The sequence below is a fragment of the Homo sapiens genome, chromosome X (assembly GCF_000001405.40).
Source record: "Homo sapiens chromosome X, GRCh38.p14 Primary Assembly".
Taxonomy (NCBI): Eukaryota; Metazoa; Chordata; class Mammalia; order Primates; family Hominidae; genus Homo; species Homo sapiens.
In genome coordinates, this window is record NC_000023.11 from 7,232,028 (window position 1) to 7,254,371 (window position 22,344).

At 41.3% G+C, this 22,344-nt stretch overlaps 1 protein-coding gene across 7 annotated transcripts in view, besides 3 other annotated features; it reads left to right on the plus strand.

Annotated features, from left to right (window-relative positions):
• Positions 1 to 22,344, plus strand: part of STS (steroid sulfatase) — a 207,352-nt gene that overhangs the window by 84,738 nt on the left and 100,270 nt on the right. For 4 of the 7 annotated variants that reach the window (NM_001320750.3, NM_001320751.2, NM_001320752.2 and 1 more), the window contains one exon: positions 21,169 to 21,309. In NM_001320750.3, coding sequence (NP_001307679.1) covers positions 21,169 to 21,309 — 141 coding nt within the window. Of the gene's footprint in view, positions 1 to 20,216; positions 20,315 to 20,445; positions 20,692 to 21,168; positions 21,310 to 22,344 lie in introns of those variants that run through there. The other 3 variants (XM_047442107.1, NM_001320753.2, NM_001320754.2) reach the window with 3 other exon arrangements.
• Positions 4,657 to 5,281: an enhancer, noted in NCBI's record as "OCT4-NANOG hESC enhancer chrX:7154725-7155349 (GRCh37/hg19 assembly coordinates)". NCBI's record gives its function as "activates a minimal SCP1, AML or CMV promoter by ChIP-STARR-seq in naive H9 embryonic stem cells {active_cell/tissue: H9 hESC(naive)}" and the evidence as "EXISTENCE:reporter gene assay evidence [ECO:0000049][PMID:30033119]".
• Positions 13,561 to 13,855: an enhancer, noted in NCBI's record as "tiled region #5189; K562 Activating DNase matched - State 9:DNaseU". NCBI's record gives its function as "activates a minimal TATA promoter and a strong SV40 promoter by Sharpr-MPRA in K562 cells {active_cell/tissue: K562}" and the evidence as "EXISTENCE:reporter gene assay evidence [ECO:0000049][PMID:27701403]".
• Positions 13,561 to 13,855: a silencer, noted in NCBI's record as "tiled region #5189; HepG2 Repressive non-DNase unmatched - State 24:Quies". NCBI's record gives its function as "represses a minimal TATA promoter and a strong SV40 promoter by Sharpr-MPRA in HepG2 cells {active_cell/tissue: HepG2}" and the evidence as "EXISTENCE:reporter gene assay evidence [ECO:0000049][PMID:27701403]".

Genomic DNA, 22,344 nt, shown 5'->3' on the forward strand with positions numbered 1-22,344 from the left:
CAGAGGCTAATTGTCAGCTTTTGCTTTCTGGGTTGTTCTATTAGGGTGCTATGGCATAGGGTCCTATTAGGATCCTATGGCAAAGAGCAACAGTGAGGGTAAGTGGAAATTTTTAGGAAAACTTGACCACATCTGGGGTAACAAATTAAGGCCCAGGGGCCAGGAGTTTGGTAGAAGCAGCGTGAATCAGAAGCTCTGGGGGAAATGGAGTCGTCCCCAAAAGCAGGCACCAGCTGCAGGTGCATGAGTGAGGAGGGAGGGATGGTGCATTTATACACTGCATTAGGGCTAGCGAAACCTTTATACAGTGCATTAGCGTTAGCAAAAGGCACTTATAGGACTTTATCCCCTTTATTTTTTTTAACCACCTTGAGAAATAGAGAATGGGTTTAGAGAAGGCAGAGTGACATGCATTTTGTTCTGTTGCAATTTGGGTATTCTTATGCCTTAGTTTGTCTCTGATATCTTTTAGCCAAGGGGAAGAGGCTGGCAAGGTTTCCATTAAAATTTATTTTCACCTTTACTTATACCAATTTGGTAGATATAGCAGGCGAGCAGTTTCCTACCTTGAACAGGGGCATGAGAAGAATGTATCTGCTTTTGCTGCAGACAGCCCAGGTCTGGAGACCCTGCGATTGGGAAGGCTGGTTCCACTGGGTAGAAGCACTATTGTGAATAGTGATGTAGTAAAAAAGGGAGTGCAGGTGGTATGGTTTGGCTGTGTCCCCACCACAAATCTCATCTTGAATTGTAATCCAAATTATAATCCCCACATGTTGGGAGAGGGACCTCATGGGAGGTGACCGGATCATGGGGGTGGTCCCCCCATGCTGTTCTCATCGTAGTGACTGAGTTCTCACAAGATCTGATGGTTTTATAAGGGGCTTCCCCCCACTTCGTTCTGCACTTCTCTCTCCTGTCGCCATGCAAAGAAGGTCTCTCCTTCGCCATCACCTTCCGCCATGATTGTGACTTTCCTGAGACCTCCCCAGCCATGTGGAACTGTGAGCCAGTTAAACCTCTTTCCTTTATAAAGTACTTGGTCTCAGATATTTCTTTTTTTCTTTTTTTTTTTTTTTTTTTTGAGATGGAGTCTCACTTCTTCGCCCAGGCTGGAGTGTAATGGCGCGATCTTGGCTCACTGCAACCTCTGCCTCCAGGGTTCAAGCAATTCTCCTGCCTCAGCCTCCCAAGCAGCTGGGATTATAGGCATGTGCCAGCATGCCTGGCTAGTTTTTGTATTTTTAGTAGAGATGGGGTTTCACCATGTTGGCCAGGCTGGTCTTGAACTCCTGACCTCAAGTGATCTGCCTGCCTCGACCTCACAAAGATATTTCTTACAGCAGTAAGAAAATGGACTAATATAGCAGGTCTTCCTTTGGCACATTGATATATTTCCCTTTAGATAAATACTCATTAGTGGGCTTGCTGGATCATATGGCAGTTCTAGTTTTAGTTTTTTGAGAAGTCTCCATACGGTTTTTTATAATGGCTGTACTAGTTTACATTTCCACCTGCGCAGGTCACCTGCTGGTCATCTAATTACCAAAGCAATTTTTACAAAATTCCTCTACATCTTTTTATTTATAGATAATCACAGCTGTATGCACCAATTTATGATCCCTGAAAAAAGAGCAGCAATTATGAGACAGCTTGTTCAGGGGAAGGAGCTCAGTGTACAGGTTAGGGCCTCCCATCGCTGTCTTCCTATGTCAGATGCCCGGGCTGATTACCATGTCTATGAAATACCTCTTTAACACAGAGGGTTAACTAGCTTGCTGCAGTGGGAGGTAAGAATAACAACAGCCTGGCCATCCACTGATCCTGGAAAATGCTCATCCACAGAGCAGCTGAGCCAAGATGGTTTGAGCTATCTTTGTCTTGTTTCCTCATCTGGTTGTTAAATCCCAGAGGCCCTCTGATATTGACAGCGCAGATGCTGATATATATTAAATGTGTGGAAGCACTTCATGCCATCCCCAAATCCCTTGCTTTTTCTTCTCCTCAAACTTGTGTGTATTTTATTTTCTCTCCTTTTACATCTGCTGCCCATGGTTTTGTTCTGCCTGATTTCCCCTGTAACATAACCCCTGGTTACCAAATGCTGGAAAGTCAGATAAGATGGGAATGCTCTATGGCGTTTCATCCAGGGGATCCTGGAAAATGCAAATATACAAAACCTATCATGACCAAAGCTTCCTGTGAGGTCCCTGGAAAAACTCTGTGCACAGAGATGCCCTCAGGGGGCAGAATAACACTTTATTATTTTCTCCACTACTGGTCCTCAAAGAACTCTCACAGGAGACTGAATTCTGCCCAGAGCTCCTTTCCTGCATGTCCCAGACATCCACCATCATTTCCTCCTAAGTCCAGACTGACTGACTGACTCTGTTGCCGACATGCAAGGAAAGGGACTTCTCTTGGTTTAACAGGAAAGGAAATAGAGGGACAGAGCAAATAAAAGGGTGGTGGAGCTGTAGGGCTGGGACAGAGACTATATGGGAGAGTAGATGTTGGACAAGGAGGGAAAATTGACACTCCAGTCAGAGGCAGCTCTGGCCTCTTAGCTCACTGTCATTCTTAAGGCAGTCTCTGGGAACCTTGGCTTCTTTAGAACACTCTACCTCTGAAATCTGTGACCTAACCCATGACTTCAAACTTGAGCATCCTTTAGGCACTTGGAGGATGTAAAGACTATCCTCATCCTCATGGAGAGTTTATTGTTCTTGAATCTGATCCTTTTACAGGAGAAAGAAGAAGTCTTAGGCTCACCCTCTGTTAAGTACAAAAGTTTCAATATATGTTTCTAGACGTGTTTTTTTTCTTACAAAATCCTTCTATAATTCACTATTACCAATGAAGAGATCATTTAAACATAGCCTTCTCAACCTTTTCTTCAAATCCCACCATCATGAACCATTTGTCCACTGTTCTACAGTGCCAAGAACTCTCCAAATATGGTGGCCTCTTAACATGCCAGAGAGGAATGTTTTCAGACTCCCCAGATTGTTTAGGACCGCTATGGGACACAGTCCTCTCCATCAAATTTGGTACCTTGTAAATAAATGAAAATATTAGGTAAGCTGTGATGAGTGGTTCATAGCAAAGCATTTGGATTTGGAGGTTGGGTAGAGGTCTTAGATCTGAGCAAGAGAGAAATGGCTCCTTCCACATGGTAACTTTATGGTGAGCACCATTTATATCTTGCCTCAGGGAGAGCACACATATTACACATAATGGGCCTTCTGGATCTCATTAGAGAGGTTAAAACCAAAATTGCAACAGAGGTATCCTGCCTATGATGGCACTCAAATGTATCCCAAGTCTGTACATTTGCTAAACTAACAGGGATGAGGAGCTTACACCAAGGTAACATTAATTCCAGTTGCCTTGGTCTGTGGTATGCACTTGTGTTTGAAACCTTGAACCTTCTTCAGAAAAACTGTTTGAAAAATATTTAGTTAGCCGGGTCCATTGGTTCACGCCTGTAATCTCAGCACTTTGAGGGGCTAAAGTGGGAGAATCATGAGCCCAGGAGTTCAGGACCAGCCTGGGCAACATGACAAGATCCCATCTTTACAAAAATTTTTTAAAAATTGGCCAGACAGACACAGTGGCTTGTGCCTATGGTCTCAGCTACTTGGGTGGGAGGATTGCTTGAGTCCAGAAGGTTGAGGCTGCAGTGAGCTGTGATCATGCCACTGCATTCTAGCCTGGGAAACACTGAGACCCTGTCTCAAATAAAAATTAGTCTTCTGAAAAACATAGGGAAATTAAAGGAAATTGAAGTCCTAGCAGAGATATCCAATGTTGGTTATTACACACTTGTGTATGTGAATGTGCTCTTTTTATTTTCTGGTTCCTTTTACCTTGTTTTATACATAACCTTTAGATAAGCTTTGAATTAGACAAAACATGTTCACTTTGTTTTTAACAAGAATGTTTTTCTACAATATATATTTATTGGAAAATACCCAAATAAAGAAATACCTATTATTTAATTTAATATAACTTTATATTCTAAATTATGACCAATTTAACTACAAGTATTTATCCTATTACATTTATCTATTTTATTTTGTTTACCTAGATTATTTATGAAAACTGTGATAGTTATGATTTAAAGTTATAAAACCCCCATTGCAAAATTATAACTGAGACAGTGAAAAAAGATTTGACCTAACTGACTCCATCTTGCTCTGAACCTCCAGGCTGTCCTTGTTCATTCCTGGGCATAGGTCAAACTAACTTTGGGAGGAACTTAGTTTATAGATTAGCTTTGAAACAGAGATGATAACAGTCCTTTCCCAAAACAAACCTCCTTACTGCCTGTGGACTAGACTGCCTAAAGCCACGAGATTAGAAGTTATGGTAATTTTACTAAATAATTAAAGATGTAGCTATTTTCATTAAACCAATATCAATGTCTTATTTATTAAAAATTACACAAGCAAAGGTCGTTCTGTTTTGGGCTGGGTTTTTAGTTTTGTAACCCCTATGCCAAAATTTGACACCTTATAGTATTTGGCAGGGATAAGTATGACATTGCTTAATTAATAAATGCAAACAATGCATGCTGACAATTCTTAAGAAATTTCTAATATTACTTACCAATAATTTTAAAGCTAACTTATTTATTAAAGGTTTTAAGTTATATAAACTTGAAAAAGCATTTGACTAGTCCTTTTTTCCTGATAAAGTATTTAAGTGTTTTTATTTTTCTTTAAGCCAATTAATTAGAGCTCTTTTATATATTTTTAGTAGTGAAACATTGTGTACACAACGCATAAATACATAGATGCATTAGGTATGCGAATGAAAGTACATTTTGTAGATCCATAAAGACCATCCTTTTTTTTTTTCTATCTTAGACTTTCAGATTCTTGATAACCTGTTTTACAACCTTAGGTGGTTGTCAGCTAAATAGCCTTAAAATTGCATGTTAAAGGAAACCACTCAAGTAAAAATCAAACAGCAAATTTACATCATAAGGCAGAGAGAGAAAAGATCTGGTGTTGCTAGAGGGAGATCCTTTTATTTTTCTTTGAGCAGATCAAACGTAAAATTACACATATCTATTATGTGATTGCATAAGGACACCAATTTTGTTTAGATAAGGACTATCTATCTTTTAACTAGATTTCTGAACTCTGGCCAGAACCCCCCCAAAAACCAAAGATTTGCTCAAAAAAAAAAAAAAAGACAAGTTCTTAGGAGAGAAAAACAAAACAACAAAACACGAAGGCCTTTTAAATACAAACATGCACACACACACAAACACACACTTTTTGTTGTTGTTGTTAGTAGAGACAGGATTTCACCATGTTAACCAGGCTGGTCTCGAACTCCTGGCCTCAAGTGATCCACCCACCTCGGCCTCACAAAGTGCTGGGATTACAGGTGTGAAGTACCATGCCTGGCCTCAACATAGTATTTTAAAGTTCATCTGTGTATTGCATATTGCAATATTTCTTCATTTTGTAAGGTTAACAATATTGCAAGAATAATACTGTAAGAATAATATTGCATTGTATGTTGTGATGGTTAATTTCATGCATCAACTTGACTGAGCTAAGGAATGCCCAGATAACTAGTAAAGCATTATTACTGAGTGTGTCTGTGAGGGTGTTTGTGGAAGAGATTAGCAGTTGCTTATTTTTATTTTTATGGATTTAGGAGTACAAGTGTGGTTGTGTTACATGAATATTTTGTGTCATGAAGTCTGCACTTTTAGTGTACCCATTGCCCCCATCATCCAAATAATATACATTCTACCCAATAAGTAGTATTTTCTCCTTCACCCCTTCCCACACTCCCATCTTCAATAGTCTTCAATGTCTGTTATTCCACTCTGTCTGTCTGTGTGTACTCATTGTATATCTCTCCCTTATAAGTGAGAACATGAGATTTTTTACTTTTGTTTCTGAATCATTTCACTAGGGAACATTTTCTTTGCTGTGGTAAAGTTCCTGTTATGTAAGCACATTGTTTACATGTCTTCTGCAGCAACATGGATGAAGTGTCCTCCAGTTTCATCCATGTTGCTGCAAAAGACATGAGCCCATTCTTTTTTATGGCTGAGTAGTATTCCATGGTGTGTGTGTGTGTGTGTGTGTGTGTGTGTGTGTGTGTGTACACACAATGCGTGGTGTAGATAGATAGATAGATAGATAGATAGATAGATAGATAGATAGATAGCACATTGTTTTTATCCAGTCATCGTTGATGGACATTTACATTGATTCCATCTCCTTAGCTCCAGGTAGATTCAGAGAAAAAGCATCAGATTATAGAAGCATAAACATCACAGGGTTTTAGACATGATAGGAGCCTTTTTATTGTACAGCTGTAGAAACAGGGACCTGCAAAGACTGGGTGACATGTCCAAATGTTGACAGCTAGTTAGCAGCAGCAACAGGATGGCAGCTACCATCTCTGGATCCATTGCTGATTGTCCTCCCCTCCATCTCATGATGCATCAACTGGAGCAATGACAGAGAAGGGGGAAAATAAGGGGAAAGCCAGGAGTGGTGGCTGACACCTGTAATCCCAGCTACATAGGAGGCCAAGGTGGGAGGATTCCATGAGTCCAAGAGTTTGTGATAAACCTGGACTACATAGCGAGAACCCATCTCTACAAAAATTTTTTTAAAAATTAGCTAGGTGTGGTGGTGCATGCCCGTAGTCCTAGCTACTCAGGAGGCTAAGGCAGGAGGATTGCTTGAGCTGGGGAGTTCAAGGCTGCAGTGAGCTGTGATCGTACCACTGTGCTCCAATCTGGGTGACAGAGTGAGACCTTGTCTCTAAAAATTGTGTTTTTAATTTAAAAAATTAAAAAATCAGCAGGAACCAATAGAATCTTCACACATGCAACACTTAGTGTGTCTTCACTAAGTGAAGACTTCAGTGTAAAGACTTCAAATGTAAACAAACAGGTTAGGCAAGGCTTACTTTTTTAAACATAATTTTTAATTAGTATTTTATTAATACTCAATGTATATTATAATGAATTCAACTATACTAGGTATAATTGATTGTATTGAGAAATACAAAGACCAATGCACCAGGTACTGTTGTATAGTCGATAGAAACAGATTCGCTAAATCAATAAAACATGAACATTTATTTTAGAAAAATCACAAGTGATTTAAATAGGTATTTAAATCTATAGAAAAGTCTGTTTAGACACAATTTCAGAATGGGTTTTTTCTGTCCTCATGTCAGACTATTTTTCTTTATCGATTTAAAACAGGACCTTTGTTGGATAATAGCACTTTGTGAATCAAATTTCACCAGTGTACATACCTTGGATTGAACGAAGCTGCTTTTCTTCTAAAAAATATTGTTTGTCGTGCAAGTTTTTCTCTGTTTTTAATAAGCCTTCTTCCCCATCGAGCAAATAGATCAGGAACATTTTCTTTGCTGTGGTTAAAGTTTCTGTTACGTAAGCACATTGTTAATTTTCTTCTAATGAACAAATTTAATATAATTACATCTCTAGTTATAAAAATGTTCCTTTGTCTCTCTCTTTCCTAATGATGCTGTTGTAGGAATAGCTGCTTTCTCCACAAAAAAAGTTTTTCGTGCTCTTTTGCCAAATTAAGTTTGTTCAGAAAAATAATTTTTAAAGGGAAAATTATGCAGTTTTTCAGAAGTTAATGTGCCATGTTCTTAATATTTTGGAGTGGAGCAGCTTTATTTAATTTTAAGTACTTTTATGTTAACTGACTCTGTTTCAGTTTTTTGAAACCTCTTTATCAATACCTTCTTGTAAGCCAGGCTTGTAGGAAAGAAAAAGCAAAGTCCACTTACTTCTGCTGGTAATAATTTATATACAGTGGGATTCTAAGTGGCTTTTTTTTTTTTTTTTTGAGACCGAGTGTCACTCACTCTGTCACCCAGGCTGGAGTGTTGTGTCTCGATCTCGGCTCACTGCAACCTCCGCCTCCCAGGCTCAAGCGATTCTCCTGCCTCAGCCTCCCGAGTAGCTGGGACTACAGGCAAGCACCACCACGCCCGGCAGATTTTTTGTACTTTTAGTAGAGACACGGTTTCACCATGTTGACCAGGCTGGTCTCAAGTGATCCACCTGCCTTGACCTCCCAAATTGCTGAGATTACAGGTGTGAGCCACCCTGACCAGCCTTAAGTGGCTCTTAACAAACTTAAATTTTCACACATTCTTAATTGGGCTAGATGGTATTTCTCATCCTAGTCCTGATAATATCTACCTCCAGGCACATTTTGGAGGTATAATGAATGATATGCTGAGCTAACCAAAATCATTTTGTGATTCAGAGATTAATATAGGCATGAAAAATTATTAATGGGCTTTTATCCTATTGTGTTCAATTTCAATAAAATGGTCTGCACCTGAACTAACCCTTTTACCACAAAGCATAGAAAATGGAAATGAATCTTCTCCAAGGAGCGCGCGCGCACACACACACACACACACAGATATGTATGTGTGTGTGTGTGTGTGTGTGTGTGTGTGTGTGTGTGTGTATATATATATATATATATAAAATGGATCCCTTCTATGATGGCATCTTGGTGTGGAACAAATTCATAATCTTAATCCTCCAGTATTTTTAATTGTTCCCTACCCAGCTAATGGGACCAGTATCTTTCCAAGGAACAAGGCTGAAGTCATCATTGACTGTTGCCTCTTTCTGACACTTCACATCCAGGCAATTACCAGCTCATGTTGATTGTGTCTCAAATCGGCTCAGTTCTCTCCAGTTCTCTCCCACCTGCCCCTGTGCTAGTCTGGACCAGCTTCCTTGGGGGGTTATGGCCATTGTCGTGCGATCCACTCCAGTTTCTGCCCAACCCTTCTGCCAGGGAGCAACCAGAATGCCTGCGGGAGTGAAACGAAACCATGCCTGTCATCCCTAGTGTCCTCAATCTCTGCTTCATCACTTCTGGATAAAGATAAATGCCCCAAACCTAAAACAACAGAAAGGAAAAAGATAAATGCCCTCCATGTCTGATCACGATGATTTATCCTGACCTCTTCTCCACCTCACAGTCAGACTTTTGCATGGAAAAAATAACCAACCAACCAATGCGCACAGTTTGTAGGAATACTGCAACATCAGCAACTTATACAATAATGATAAAAAACAAAGAACATGGAGAGAAACACACATATTACCTGAGTGGCTCTCTGAGTGGCTGGTTGATGTTTCTCTTTTGTACATTTATAATAGTAAAAATACAACAAAACATTTATTTAAAAAAATCAATTTTTGTGTACAAAAATCACAAAGCATAATAGTCCAAAGTAGGTCTCTAAATAGCTAGGTTTTTTTGGTGAGATTTTAGTTAGTCCTCATATAGAGCCTGAATTTTGCTCTATTTAATCTCTTTTTTAGCCATTTCCCTTTGGTCTACCCTAAATGCCCTTTTCTAATTCAGGTGCTTTCAACTTTCAGTTATAAAACAAAAATTCATTTTTACATGGTTGCTGAGCAGAGACATGTGTCCTTAAATTGCTTATATAAATTCTGAGACTCATTACTAATGAAACATGTTCTTAAAATAAGTTCAACATGACATTTCAGAGCCGCTGTCCTGGGGAGCTTTTTTCTCGTCCTCATTGACAAAATTGACCTTCTCACCTCAAGCTATTGGAGTTATCTACTACTGTGTAACAAATTACCCCAAAACTTAGCAGCTTAAAGCAACTTGCGTTTGTTATCTCATTGTTTCTGTAGGTCAAAAATCTGGGCACAGCTTAGCTGGATCCTCCTTAGCTTCTACGTCTCTTTCAGGCTACTTCAGGTGTCATGGCTGTGGTCTCATCTGTGGTCCAAAAGTAGCAGGATCTCTTTCCAAGCTCATTCAGATAGTTGCAGGCAGGACTTAGTTCCTTGCAGGATGTTCACCTGAAAGCCTCATTTTTTTTTGCTGGCTGTTGGCTGGACACTTCTCTCTTTTTCTTATAACATGGGTCTCTCCACAATGGCCACTTACTTCATCCACAGCCAGCAAGCGATAGAGTTTGCCAGCAAGATAGAGGTCATAGTCTTTTACAACCCAATCACAGAATTGACATCTCATCACTTTTTCCATATCCTACTCATTGGAAGTAAATCACTAGGTCCAGCCCATACTCAACAGGAGGCGATTGTATCAGATGTGAATACCAGAAGGGAAGTCACTGGGGCCACTTTTAGTTGGCTGACCACATTTTTGTTCAAAACTCTATTAGTGTACTTATTATACTCTACATAACATTTTATTATTATTAATAGTTGTAATTTTAATAATAACTTTATAAGTTAATAATAACTTAATATTATTAAATAACTATAATGAACAACTATGGCCTCTTACTATGATTCCCTTGCTGAATCAATAAGTACTAAGAACCCAGAAGGAGAGACCCTGTCTCTATAAAAAAAAAAAATTAAAAATTAGCTGGTCATGGTGGTGTGCCCTTGTAATCCCGGCTACTTGGGAGGCTGAGGTGGCAGGATTGCTTGAGCCCGGGAGGTTGAGGCTGCAGTGAGCCGTGATCACGCCACTGCACTCCAGCCTGGGTGAAACAGTGAGACCCTGTCTCAAAATAAATAAATTAATTAATAAAAATAAAAAGGTCCTAAGTGTGTAGTTTTATCTTCAAAATAATACTTGTAAGGTATTATTATTCCTTTCTTACAGAAAAGAAAACTAACAGGCTAAATATATAGCTTGTGGTTTCACTGCTAGCAAGTGGGGGAGAAAGAAAGAAAACCTCAACAGCATAAACTGCAGTTCTGACTCCACTGCCCACCTTAGTGGGTTTGGTACTTGTGCATTTCCTCATTTGACCTGTCAGAGTCTTGCAGGGTGACTGTGTGTCTCATACAATCATAGAACCACCATAGGACTGCTATAATGTCATCTTTCTGGGTTTTGCCCTGTATTTGTGGAATTGAAATAGATTCGGTTGAATTCTCAGTGAATTGCTTTCCACTGGAAAGGTGTAGCTAGACTAAAATGCTCCTAACAAGTTACATTTGTCTAGCACTTTATTATTTTGGAAACCTCTTTTGGGGTTGGATAGGGCAGGGTCTTACTCTGTCGCCCAGAGTGGAGTACAGTGGCGCAATCATAGCTCACTGCAGCCTCAAACTCCTGGGCTCAGGCCATCCTTCTGCCTCAGCCTCCTGATTAGCTGGGACTACAGGCATGTGCCACCACACCCAGCTAATTTTTACATTCTTTGTAGAGATGGGATCTTGCTATGTTCCTGCAGCTGGTCTTGAACTCCTGAGCTCAAGCAATCCTCCTACCTTAGCCTCCCAAACTGCTGGGATTGCAGGTGTAATCTACTGCATCTGGTCGCATTTTGGAAACCTTTTATCGCTAGTATCCTGAGTAACTCCCCCATGGTCAAGGTGACATCTTAGGGTAATGTGCAGAAGAGTGATTCACAAGGAGAACATGCCTTCTAAAGCCTCATGGCTGGTGGCCTGAGATGAGGCCAGAGCTCTGACTCTTATTTCTCCTCTCATTCTGCTAGTTCTTGACAAGCAGAGAATAAAAGCCAGCAAAAAGAGAATTAAGGAGAGTTAGGAATGAGAGGGTAGCTGTAACAAAAACAAACAGAGACTATCACATTCCCTGGGTTGGTTATCTTTCAGGAAGAATCGTGGTGATCTGCGTTTGCTTTTTATGAAAAGGGGAGACCCCGAAAAGGGAGGGAGGTGAGAGGACTATTGGAAGTAGGTCAGGGGAGAGAGAGAGAATTTTATGTTTCCCAGGCTGGGAGCTGTGTCTCACGCCTATAATCCCAGCACTTTGGGAGGCCGAGGCAGGTGGATCACTTGAGATCAGGAGTTCGAGACCAGCCTGGCCAACATGGCGAAACACCATTTCTACTAACAACAACAAAAAAAGATTAGCCAGCTGAGGTGGCAGGCACCTGTAATCCCAGCTAATCAGGAGGCTAAGGCAGGATAATTGCTTGAACCCGGGCGGCAGAGGTTGCAGTGAGTCGAGATCACACCACTACACTCCAACCTGGGCAACAGAGTGAGACTCTGTCTAAGAAAAAAAGAAGAAGAGTATGGCTCCCAATGACTAATGTGTAGGAGTAAGGATTCTTTGACTGGGGTTCAGACAGGCAAGGAGCATGATGCTGTTGTGCAGAGTGTAACTCCTGATAAAAATGTAAGGTAGCAAAAGATTTGCCACATGGACAAATGACAAAATAAGCAACTTAGAAGGCATGAGAAGAAGGAATGCTTGCAGCCTAATGTTTTCCTTGAAGAGCCTTTTTGGAGATGGTTGCCTATGTGCATTAGAATTTAAGAGCTTCCATAATTTGCGGAAGTATGTTATACCCGAGAAACATTGTCTGTTAACACCGAAGATGTACTTGTGGGTGCAAATGAGAAATTTACACCTACTCAAATGGTTTGGCATTTCCAAATCCTTTGGTAGATGCCGATCTGCCTACATACAGGAGCAGAGGGAATGAATTGCAATTCTGTTATGTTCAGGAGGTGAAAATTCTACAGATGATAGGGCGGGTAACATGCTAGCACTAAGTTGGTGGTTTCAGCTGGGGACAGTTGTGTTCCCCAGAGGACATTTGGCAATATCTGGAGGACATTTGTTATTTCACAACTAGGGGAGAACAGAGAAGTTGGGGACAGCATCCTGTCGGGGTTTAGTGGGTAGAGGCCAGGGATGGTGCTAAGCATCTTACAATGCACAGAACAGCCCCCTCCCCACCAATAAAGACTCATCCAGTCCACATGTCAATAGTGTTGAGGCTGAGAAACACTATTAACAAAATCTGAGGTCCCTAAGTCAAATATCAACTCATGATAAAAACATGTTCTCATGTTATTTTTTCACACAGGAGAAATTGGTTAAGAAGTAGGTAAAGCAGTTACAGTGCTTGGTACATACTAAGCACCCAAAAAACTGTTATTTTAAAATAAGAAAAGTTATGTATTTATTTCCTGTATCAACTGAAACATGAACCTAGTAATGAAGTAGAGATGCAGAACACAGCCTGCTGGCTCTGGCCTTCTCTGATATGAATGCTATATGTTGCACTCTTATGGGGACAGGAGGTTATTAAACTCACTCTTTTGCAAATTCCTGGTATTAGTTATGGATTTGTAAGCCATTAAATCTACTTAGGGACCCCTGATGCTCCAACCCTGAGCTTTTCGTGGGCATTATTAATGGTGTTTTCAGTTTTCTTAAAAACCTCTAGTGTGTCTCACTCTTCATATTTAAAGACGGATGCTAATTTTTGAATCTTCTCTGTGCCCCGTAAAACCTTCCAGCCATTTAAAAAAATAGTGCATGGCCCTGCTTAATTTCCTCTCTGGTTGAACTGGCATGAGGGCCTTTTAATTAAACAGAATAAACATACATTTTTGATTTAATGTGGCTTTCTTTGATACTTGCTCAACCAGCCCCTGCTCACATGGTGTCTACAGTCTAATTAGGAAGGGGAACAATCATCTGATCTCAGATTTACAACCCTTCTCTGTCATTATTTATTCATTTGCCTAGTCCACAAATCTTGACTATTTAATGTGTGCGAAGCATGAGAGAGGATGCTAGGGATATAGCCAGGAGGCATTTAGACTTCTTCCTGGCTGCAGAATGCTTCCAGTGCAGCAGGGAAGATTAAACGCAAAATAACTCAAACTGCACTTGCTTGTATCATCAGTGCTGAGAAAGAAATGCACAGTGATAAGAAAAGGGGAACTTCCTCCCATGCAAGGAATCTTAGAGGGTGTCCCTAGATAAGTCACATGAAAGCTGGGGATGGGGGCTGAAGATTGGCCTCTCCAAATTATCTCTGCCCTCCTCTCATTCTTCAGCCTTTCCGCACCTCACTCCAATATGAGGTCCATTGTTACAATCGTGGTGTTGAAGGTAGGAGAGTTCACCTTTTATTACACCCACCTAGCTATTTAAACACAAGCATGTAGTACTTGTATAGATATATTTGCTCATATTTGCAATTTCTCTGTCACGGATGTGGGGCTGGAGCCTGGATTTGCCAGCCAAAGAGTTAACAGATGTTGAACGCAATGAAGAATTGTCTCAAAACAGCTGTTCCAAGAAAGGGATAGTGTTTCGAATAAAAAGAACATTTGTTAGAGCACACATCATCTTGAGCCTAGCCGTAAAAAAACCCGTTCACAAGATAAGCCATTGTTCGCTCTTTGTTACCAAGTTTGTGTTTAAGGAGTTAAGATTTGGGAGAGACTTTTTTTTTTTTTTTTTGAGACAGAGTCTCGCTCTGTCGCTCAGGCTGGAGTGCAGTGAGACGGAGTCTCGCTCTGTCGCTCAGGCTGGAGTGCAGTGGCGCGATCTCGGCTCACTGCAAGCTCTGCCTCCCAGGTTCGCGCCATTCTCCTGCCTCAGCCTCCCGAGTAGCTGGGATTACAGGTACCCGCCACCACACCCGGCTAATTTTTTTTTTTGGATTTTTAGTAGAGATGGGGTTTCACCGTGTTAGCCAGGATGGTCTCGATCTCCTGACATCGTGATCCGCCCGCCTCGGCCTCCCAAAGTGCTGGGATTACAGGCGTGAGCCACCGCGCCCGGCCCTGGGAGAGACTTTCAACTTAGCTGCAGGTCCTGCCCAGCACAGTGTTCACAGTCTGCAAGGAAGGTAGCAGGGTATTGCATGGGATTTTATGTTAATGATGTTCAGGGGATGATAATTCTCACCCGGGAAGGAAATGATCCATTAGTTACACTCTCAGTCTGTGTCTTAGGCCAGCATGAAGCCATTACATATCTTTAGCTGCAAAATAATAATTTTATGATGAGATAAGGGGTAGTTTTATTTCTGGCCTATTTTAAAAGAGAGAAGATGCAAGGCCTACGCCAGGGACTAAATCATTTCACTTCAGACTTTGTATAGAATTCATGTCAAATAAATGTCATAAATTATAAATAAGACATAAGTGTGTCACATAAAATAATTCTATGGTAATAGTTAATGACAGAGCTAAGCTGAATAAATATAGCAAATATGTGTGTGTGTGTATGTGTGTGTGTGTGTTTTCATGTAAACATTTTCCTCTATCATAGAAAGTGAATGTGACCATCGAACACATCCTTGAATTCTAGGATTAGTCCCATGGATTTAAGTCTCCCAAGGAGATAAAAGTGAAGAGACTTAAAATAAAACAAACAAAAAACTCTTTTGCCCTATTTATTTGAATAAATAAGAGTAAGATAGTCAATCACTCAATCACTTTGCAAAGCTTAGGAATCTAACTGAATAACAAAAGTACCAACTCAATGTAGATAAGGAGAATTGAGTGGATCAGGAGAGAGAGAGGTGATTGACTATGATTAGTAGTGTCATGTGTGAAGGAAGTACCCCCGGACTGCCAGTCACATAGCTTCCCACATTTACTCTGTCTTCTTTAAAAAATATCATGCTTCTCAAAATACTTCACATTCTAAGAGTGCAGCTGCACGAACATAGAGTTGATGATTGCATGGAACAACTGTATAGGATGTTGTAAGAAAATATACTTCTCTTGGAGCTAAGAGCTATGTAGTTGACAGTGACTTCTCTCTCATTACTGGATGTCTACTCTCTCACACCAGCTTCCTCTTTTGCTGTAATAGAGTACTATTCAAGCAGGAGAAATTTTTGTCTCCCTTTCTCCCAGCAATGGCTGGTAGAGTCTGGAGACATCTTTGGATCTCATAACTGAGGGGAGTTATACATGCTACTGGCATGTAGTGGGTAGAGGCTTGAGATGTGCTGAATATCCTGCAATGCACAGGACAGGCCCCTACACTAACAAATCATCCGTCCCCAAATGTCAATAGTGCAGAGGTTGAGAAATCCTGATTTAATGCAATTCATGACCTGTAATGGAACCCATTATCCTGGCTAATTTGCATTTGTGTGTACTCCTTTACTAAGGCTCAATTAAGTAATTTAGTGAATATTTATTCACTCGCAGGGCCATGGGGGAGAACTGCAAAAGAAAATTGAGGGATTATAAATACCTAATGGGAAGGCAAGGTGAACACACATGAAAACAAACCAAAAAAATTCTACTTCAAAATGTTATTGATTTTCTCCAGACCCTAATTATGTATATTCTATCATTTGCAGTGCATACCCTTTGTCTGTCTTTGCAAACTGTCAATTCAGATAATATAGTGTCTTAGTGAATTGTTGCCACAATAATGTCATGTACCAATTCTCTTCCAAGCTCAACAGATTAACACAACAGTGTATATTTTCATTGGTTTGTCTGTTGGCTGAAACAAACAAGCTCCAGGCTGTCTGTTGGGCTGTGTCTGCTACAATGCATTTACTCTGGGGCTCAGGCTGAAAGGGAGGTAGCACATACTAGAGAAAGAGCTTCTTGTGGTGATGGCAAAAGTACAACAGGACCAAGCTAAACATGCAAGCATAACGTTTCTGTTTCCCTCACATCTGATAGCATCCCATTGGCTAAGACAAATCACATGGTTGAGCTCCAAATCAAGGCTGAACAAGTATACTGTGGTCTCTATAAGGCCAATGCAGGATACATGGCCTCACTCAATACCGGTGGGTCAGAGAAAGGATTGCGTTATTTTAACTAATAAGTTCATTTTAATATTTCCATTTCAAATTTAACATTATAAGAATTTTTCTTGTTTTTTTAAGATTTATTACTATTTATAATTGTGGCAAAATACACATAACATAAAATTTTCCATCTTAACCATTTTTAAGTGGCATTAAGTATGTTCACACTGTTTTGCAGCCATCACCACTATCCATCTCTAGAATTCTTTTCATCTTGCAAAACTGAAACTCTGTATCTATTAAATAATTATTCCCAATTCCCCTGGGATTGAGTACTTATTTAAAAAAAATAATAATCTACCACCCATTTTTAATGGGAGCAAGGCTTATTTTTATAGAGATAATTGGCATATAGCATGCATTTATAGTTGTCAGCCCAACCTATGCCCAAGGTGTATTCTATCCAAGATACAGACATGTATGTCTTCGGGACCTAAGGTAGGAGCCCCACAGAAGTGTGTTTTACTCAGATAAAAAAGCCTTTTGGGAAGGAATTCCTTCCAAGTTCAGGCCGAGAAGCAGTATGGGCCATAGCCAGGGAGCCTGCATTAGAGAAATTGGTTGACATTCAGACCCATGTCCATCAATCACTCAACAGGGAAGTCTACCTAATTCTCAGGTTCCAAGCAGTAGTAGGTTAATCCAAGGGGGAAAAAGTGAAGTGTGCTTTTACTGAAATCTACATGGAATATTAGGAGCTTAGGGCATCAGCAGCATATAGCTGGCAGCTTCAGGAGCAACCAGTGCAGGAGCCAGCCAGCTGGCAGCAGTAGGGGCTTTAGCAGTGTTAAACCCCAGAGCCCATGAGATGGAGCTCAGTATCCTTATCATCAGCCACCAGTGGTGGGACTCAGACTGGGTAGGCAGTGGTTGTGAGGTCCTTTAGACAGGACCTGTTTCTATCAGCAGGAACAGGAGGCATCACTACAGAGCCCTGGGAAATGACAGGCATTATTCAGTAGCCAAGGGAACTGCTCGAGTAATTAGAAAAGCACTGAAGTCTCCACCATGTGGAATGCTGAAAAGCCCTAGAAATACTGGGTTCCAGGGACAATCTGAGAGAGAAGAGCCATAGGGAGTCCTGGGTGCTAGTCTAGATACCACAGCTTGCTATGAGTATGACTAGGGCAATTCATTGAATCTCTCTGGGTCTTTGTTTTCCCTTCTAAAAGTAAGAGAATTGGGATACATGATTTGCCTGGTCTTTTCTAACCGATACTGTATTACCTGAATATTATATGAATGTTGTTATATGATCTCAAGCCAGGCTTTATATTCATGCCACGTTTTGGTTGTAGAAAGTCTGTATTCTTTATTTATTTAATTGGTTAATTAATTAGAGAGAGTCTCACTCTGTCAACTAGGCCAGAGTACAGTGGCGCCATCAGAGCTCACTGTAGTCTCGAACCCCTGGGCTCAAGCAATTCTCCTGCCTCAGCCTCTCGAGTAGCCGGAACTACAGACGTGCACCACCATGCCGAGAAAATTTTTAAATTTTTTTGTAGAGATAGGAACTTACATATTTCCCAGGCTGGTCTCCAACTCCTGAGCTCCCCCAGTCCTCCCTGCTCGGCCTCCCAAAGCACTGGGATTATAGGTGTGAGCCACCATGACCAGCCAATCTCTCTGAGTCTTTGTTTCTCCATCTGACAATAAGAGAATTGGGATACATGATTTGCAAGACCTTTTTGAACTGAAATTATATTATCTGAATGTTGTGATTTGCTCTCAAGCCAGCCTTTAAGTTCATGCCAGATTTTGGTTGTATAAAGACCATAGTCTTAAACCATGCTTTAAAAAAAAAAAAGAAAGAAAGAAAGAAAGAAATAGGCAATTTCTCATTTCTTTCCAAGCATAAATATTAGCTTAAGCATTAAGATAGACAAGGTTTTTGTTGTGATGGCATTGTATAACTGGATTATTTCATGCAGTCTTATGTGAGGAATTCAGTAAGAAGTTACTTTGCATCAGCTTTATCTGTATTTAGCATTTAGCAGATTAAGCCGAATTGAGGGCCTTTAGACTAAATGGCAAAAATGGTTTCACGTAATAATAGCAGGGTGCTTTTTACATTCATGATATCTGTTTGAACATGTTAAATTCAAGATACCAGATATATGTCTGTATGGAGACCTTAATTCAGTATTTGGATATACAGTCTCTCTGGACATAAAACTTAGGTGTTTCTAAGCATTCATTCAGTATTTAATCTCACCAAGACAGCATATGTATTTCATAAAGGTAGGGAGGAGATGAGGAAAGCAGAAAGTGTCTTGAGGCTCACAACATTTAAAGTGCAGACTGGACAGTGGACACTCAGAAGTGGCACCAGGCCAGGAAATATGTTTAGTCGTTGTTTGATTGTTTCTTTGAGTATTTTGCACCAAGTTAGCCTACACATTTGTTTAAATTATTAAATTGATGGTCATACAACTGCACATGCAAATCTGTGTGTCTGTCTTCTCTTTAAAAATTGGAAGCTGCTACAAGGGTGACATTCTTTAGGAGGGGTGCAAGCTCTTGGCTGGCAAAGCCCCTCCCCATATTGATGACTAAACCCAGGCCATTTCCCATCCCCCATCCAGCCTCTGTAATTATGTGGGGTTGTGTTCCTGATTCTGAGGTCCATGAATGAGGAAGAACCAGCAAACAGAGACTCTGCAGAAAGAGAGACACAATAGGAAACTCAGAGAGTATGTTCAAAGAGCAGTGCATTCCTGAGCAAGGGAATGGCTCACTCTGACAGGTGTTGCTGGAAAGCCAGGGAAGAGACTCTGCCACACCATGTGCACTGGCCTTGATGTCCAGTGTCCTTAGTGACTCTGGGGGAGCTGTCTGCATGCACCAAGGCTGGTGTGAGTGCAAAAATAGATGCAGAGTGAGGTCAAGCTCACATGCCAGTTCACACGCTGAAGGACTGTCAGTGCTCCCAGATACACGGCAATGAGGGTCCAGTGTCAGGAGAGAACAGATAGGTAAACTAAAAGCCCAGACTCCACCACTACACATGCACGTAAGACACCTGCGCTGTACCCCCTAAATCTATAAACATTTTTAAAAATTAAAAGTAAATAAAATTGGTCCTCACCATCATCCCAGCTACTCAGGAGACTGACATGGGAGGATCACTTGAACCCAAAAGTTCAAGACCAGTTTGGGTAACATAGTAAGACCCTTGTCTCTAAAAAATAAAAATAAAAATATTACCCAGGCATGGCAGTGTGCACCTGTAATTCTAGCTGCTCAGGAGGCTGAGATGGGAGAATCGCTTGAGCCCAGGAGTTGGAGGCTGCAGTGAGTTATAATCACACCACTGCACTCTAACCTGGGCAACAGAGCCAGAACCCTGTCTCAAATTTTTTTAAATAAAAATAAAATTACTTAATAGAACAAAGAAATTGTTCAATTTCTTTCACTTTACAGTTAAGAAAACTAAGATTCAGAGAACTGATATGATTAACACCTACCCCTGACTCCCCCACCTAGAATAAAGGTCATAAAATTTCTCCCCGGGCCAGTGAGAAAAATAAAGTATAAAAATTTCTCCCCAGGCAGATGAGAAACAGAAAGAGAAAGTAGTGAGTTTTGTCTCCTGATGTCAGGGTCAGAGCCACAGAGACTTGGTTCTGGAAGTATTTGAGAGTAAGAACCTGGCTCAAGGCTGTGAACCAGTTGCTGGGAGAGGTGTTGCCTACCACTGCTGGTGGGAAGACTAGAAGGACATCGATATTGAGTAAGTAAGACCTCAGGCTACCACACTGCACACCTACCTGCTACCTTCCGGGGAACCAAGCCAGGCCTCTCTCTGGCTGGGAAACCTGTTGAGCAACCTCCTCATATTTGCTGCCAACATAAGCTCCGGTTCTAAATGGAGAACCTGTTGCAGGGTGGGGCAGCAAAACCTCAAGAGTGAGAAGAGAGGCAAACAGCAAAATGAAGTAGAAAGCCCACGTCCTCCTCAACAAGAAGGGGTCTAACTCAAAGGAAGCAGGTTGCTGGAACACGTACACAGACCTCCATACAAGAAAGACATCATGTGTGTGTTCAAGCCACCATCCTCCCCAAAGATTCCATCACCTGTTATTCTTACAAGGAATGAAATGCAGTGAGGTGAGAGCGTGTTGGGATGGCAGACATGGACGATGGATGAATTCTCTTCCCTCTGTACATTTTCCAGCACAAAGAGCTGCCCCAGGCTGTTGACCCCATACACTTTGAGTTTTGAAAGGTTTCTGTGTTTCCCTTAGAAAGCTACTAAACCAGGACAGGCACAGTCGTTCAGGCCTGTAATCAGCACTTTGCAAGGGTGTGGCAGGAGGATTGTTTGAGCCCAGAAGTTCAAGACCAGCCTGGGCAACATAACAAGACCTTATCTTTACAAAATCCACAAAAATTAGCTGGGTGTGGTGACACATGCCTATAGTCCCAGGTACTTGGGAGGCTGAGACAGGAGGATCGCTTAAACCCAGGACTTCAAGGTTGCAGTGAGCTAAGATCCTACCACCTCACCCCAGCCTGGGCAACAGAGCAAAACCTTGTCTCAAGCTGACATCCTTCAGTTCCTTTTTGTGTCCTTGTCCTTTACAGGAAGATGAAGATCCCTTTCCTCCTACTGTTCTTTCTGTGGGAAGCCGAGAGCCACGCAGCATCAAGGCCGAACATCATCCTGGTGATGGCTGACGACCTCGGCATTGGAGATCCTGGGTGCTATGGGAACAAAACTATCAGGTTGGTAATGCAGCTCCTCAGTAAACACATGGCTGTATTCATAGGCAACAGTCCCCGGGATGGTTATTGTTGATCTACAGAGCACAGAACATGTAGAAACGTTCAAAACCCTCCAAACCATGCCTGGCTTCATGTAGATACACTGAGATGTAGGTGTCATGAAGGCAGGTGTGAGTTTATCTGTTTGACTATGAACAGGGAGCTGGATGAGCTCAGGGAGATCACTAAGAAGGTGTGCATCACAGTTCTTCTTTACTAATGGCTACGATGCTGCTTTCCACACATTCACATTTCCATCCCTTTTGTTCACCTATTTCGTCTTCTCCTTTTGGCATCTGGCTTTATTCTGGTTGGTTATGGGTCTGTACTACTCTGTCCTGGCTCATCAGTGACTTACTCTCACTCTCACTCTCACTCATGCCCAACTCTCCCTCTTCTAGCCCAGGCCCTACCCTGTCGTCAGCTATGCAGGCTGTCTTAGTCTGTAAAGGCTGCTATGACAAAATGCCATAGGCTGGGTGGCTTCTAAACAATAGAAATGTATTGCTCATAGTTCTGGAGGCTGGAAGCCCAAGATCAAGGCATAGCAGATTCAGCGTCTGGTGGGGACGTGCTTCCTGGTTCATAGACAGAACCTTCTCACTGTGTCTTCACATGGTGGAAGGGGGGAGGGAGCTCTCTGGGTCCCTTTTATAAGGTCATAAATCCCATTTACAGGGCTTCATCCTCATGACCTCATCACCTCCCAAAGACCCCACCTCCTAATAAAATCCCATTGAGGGTGAGCATTTCAACATCTGAATCTGGGGGGGACACAAACATCGAGACCATAGCTGACAATCAGGAGAGGTATCATGTTTTAGGACCTCATAACTTGCCAGTAATTATCAAAACAGTGGCAACAAGGCAATCAAACGAGACTCGAGGTCATTTGACCCTTGGGTCTGAACATCCTCCCAGAAGTGGGTGTTTTGTTTCTCTCCCTCTGCGTAAAATCAACCTAACATAAGACCTATTTTAAGGACCCTTTTGTTT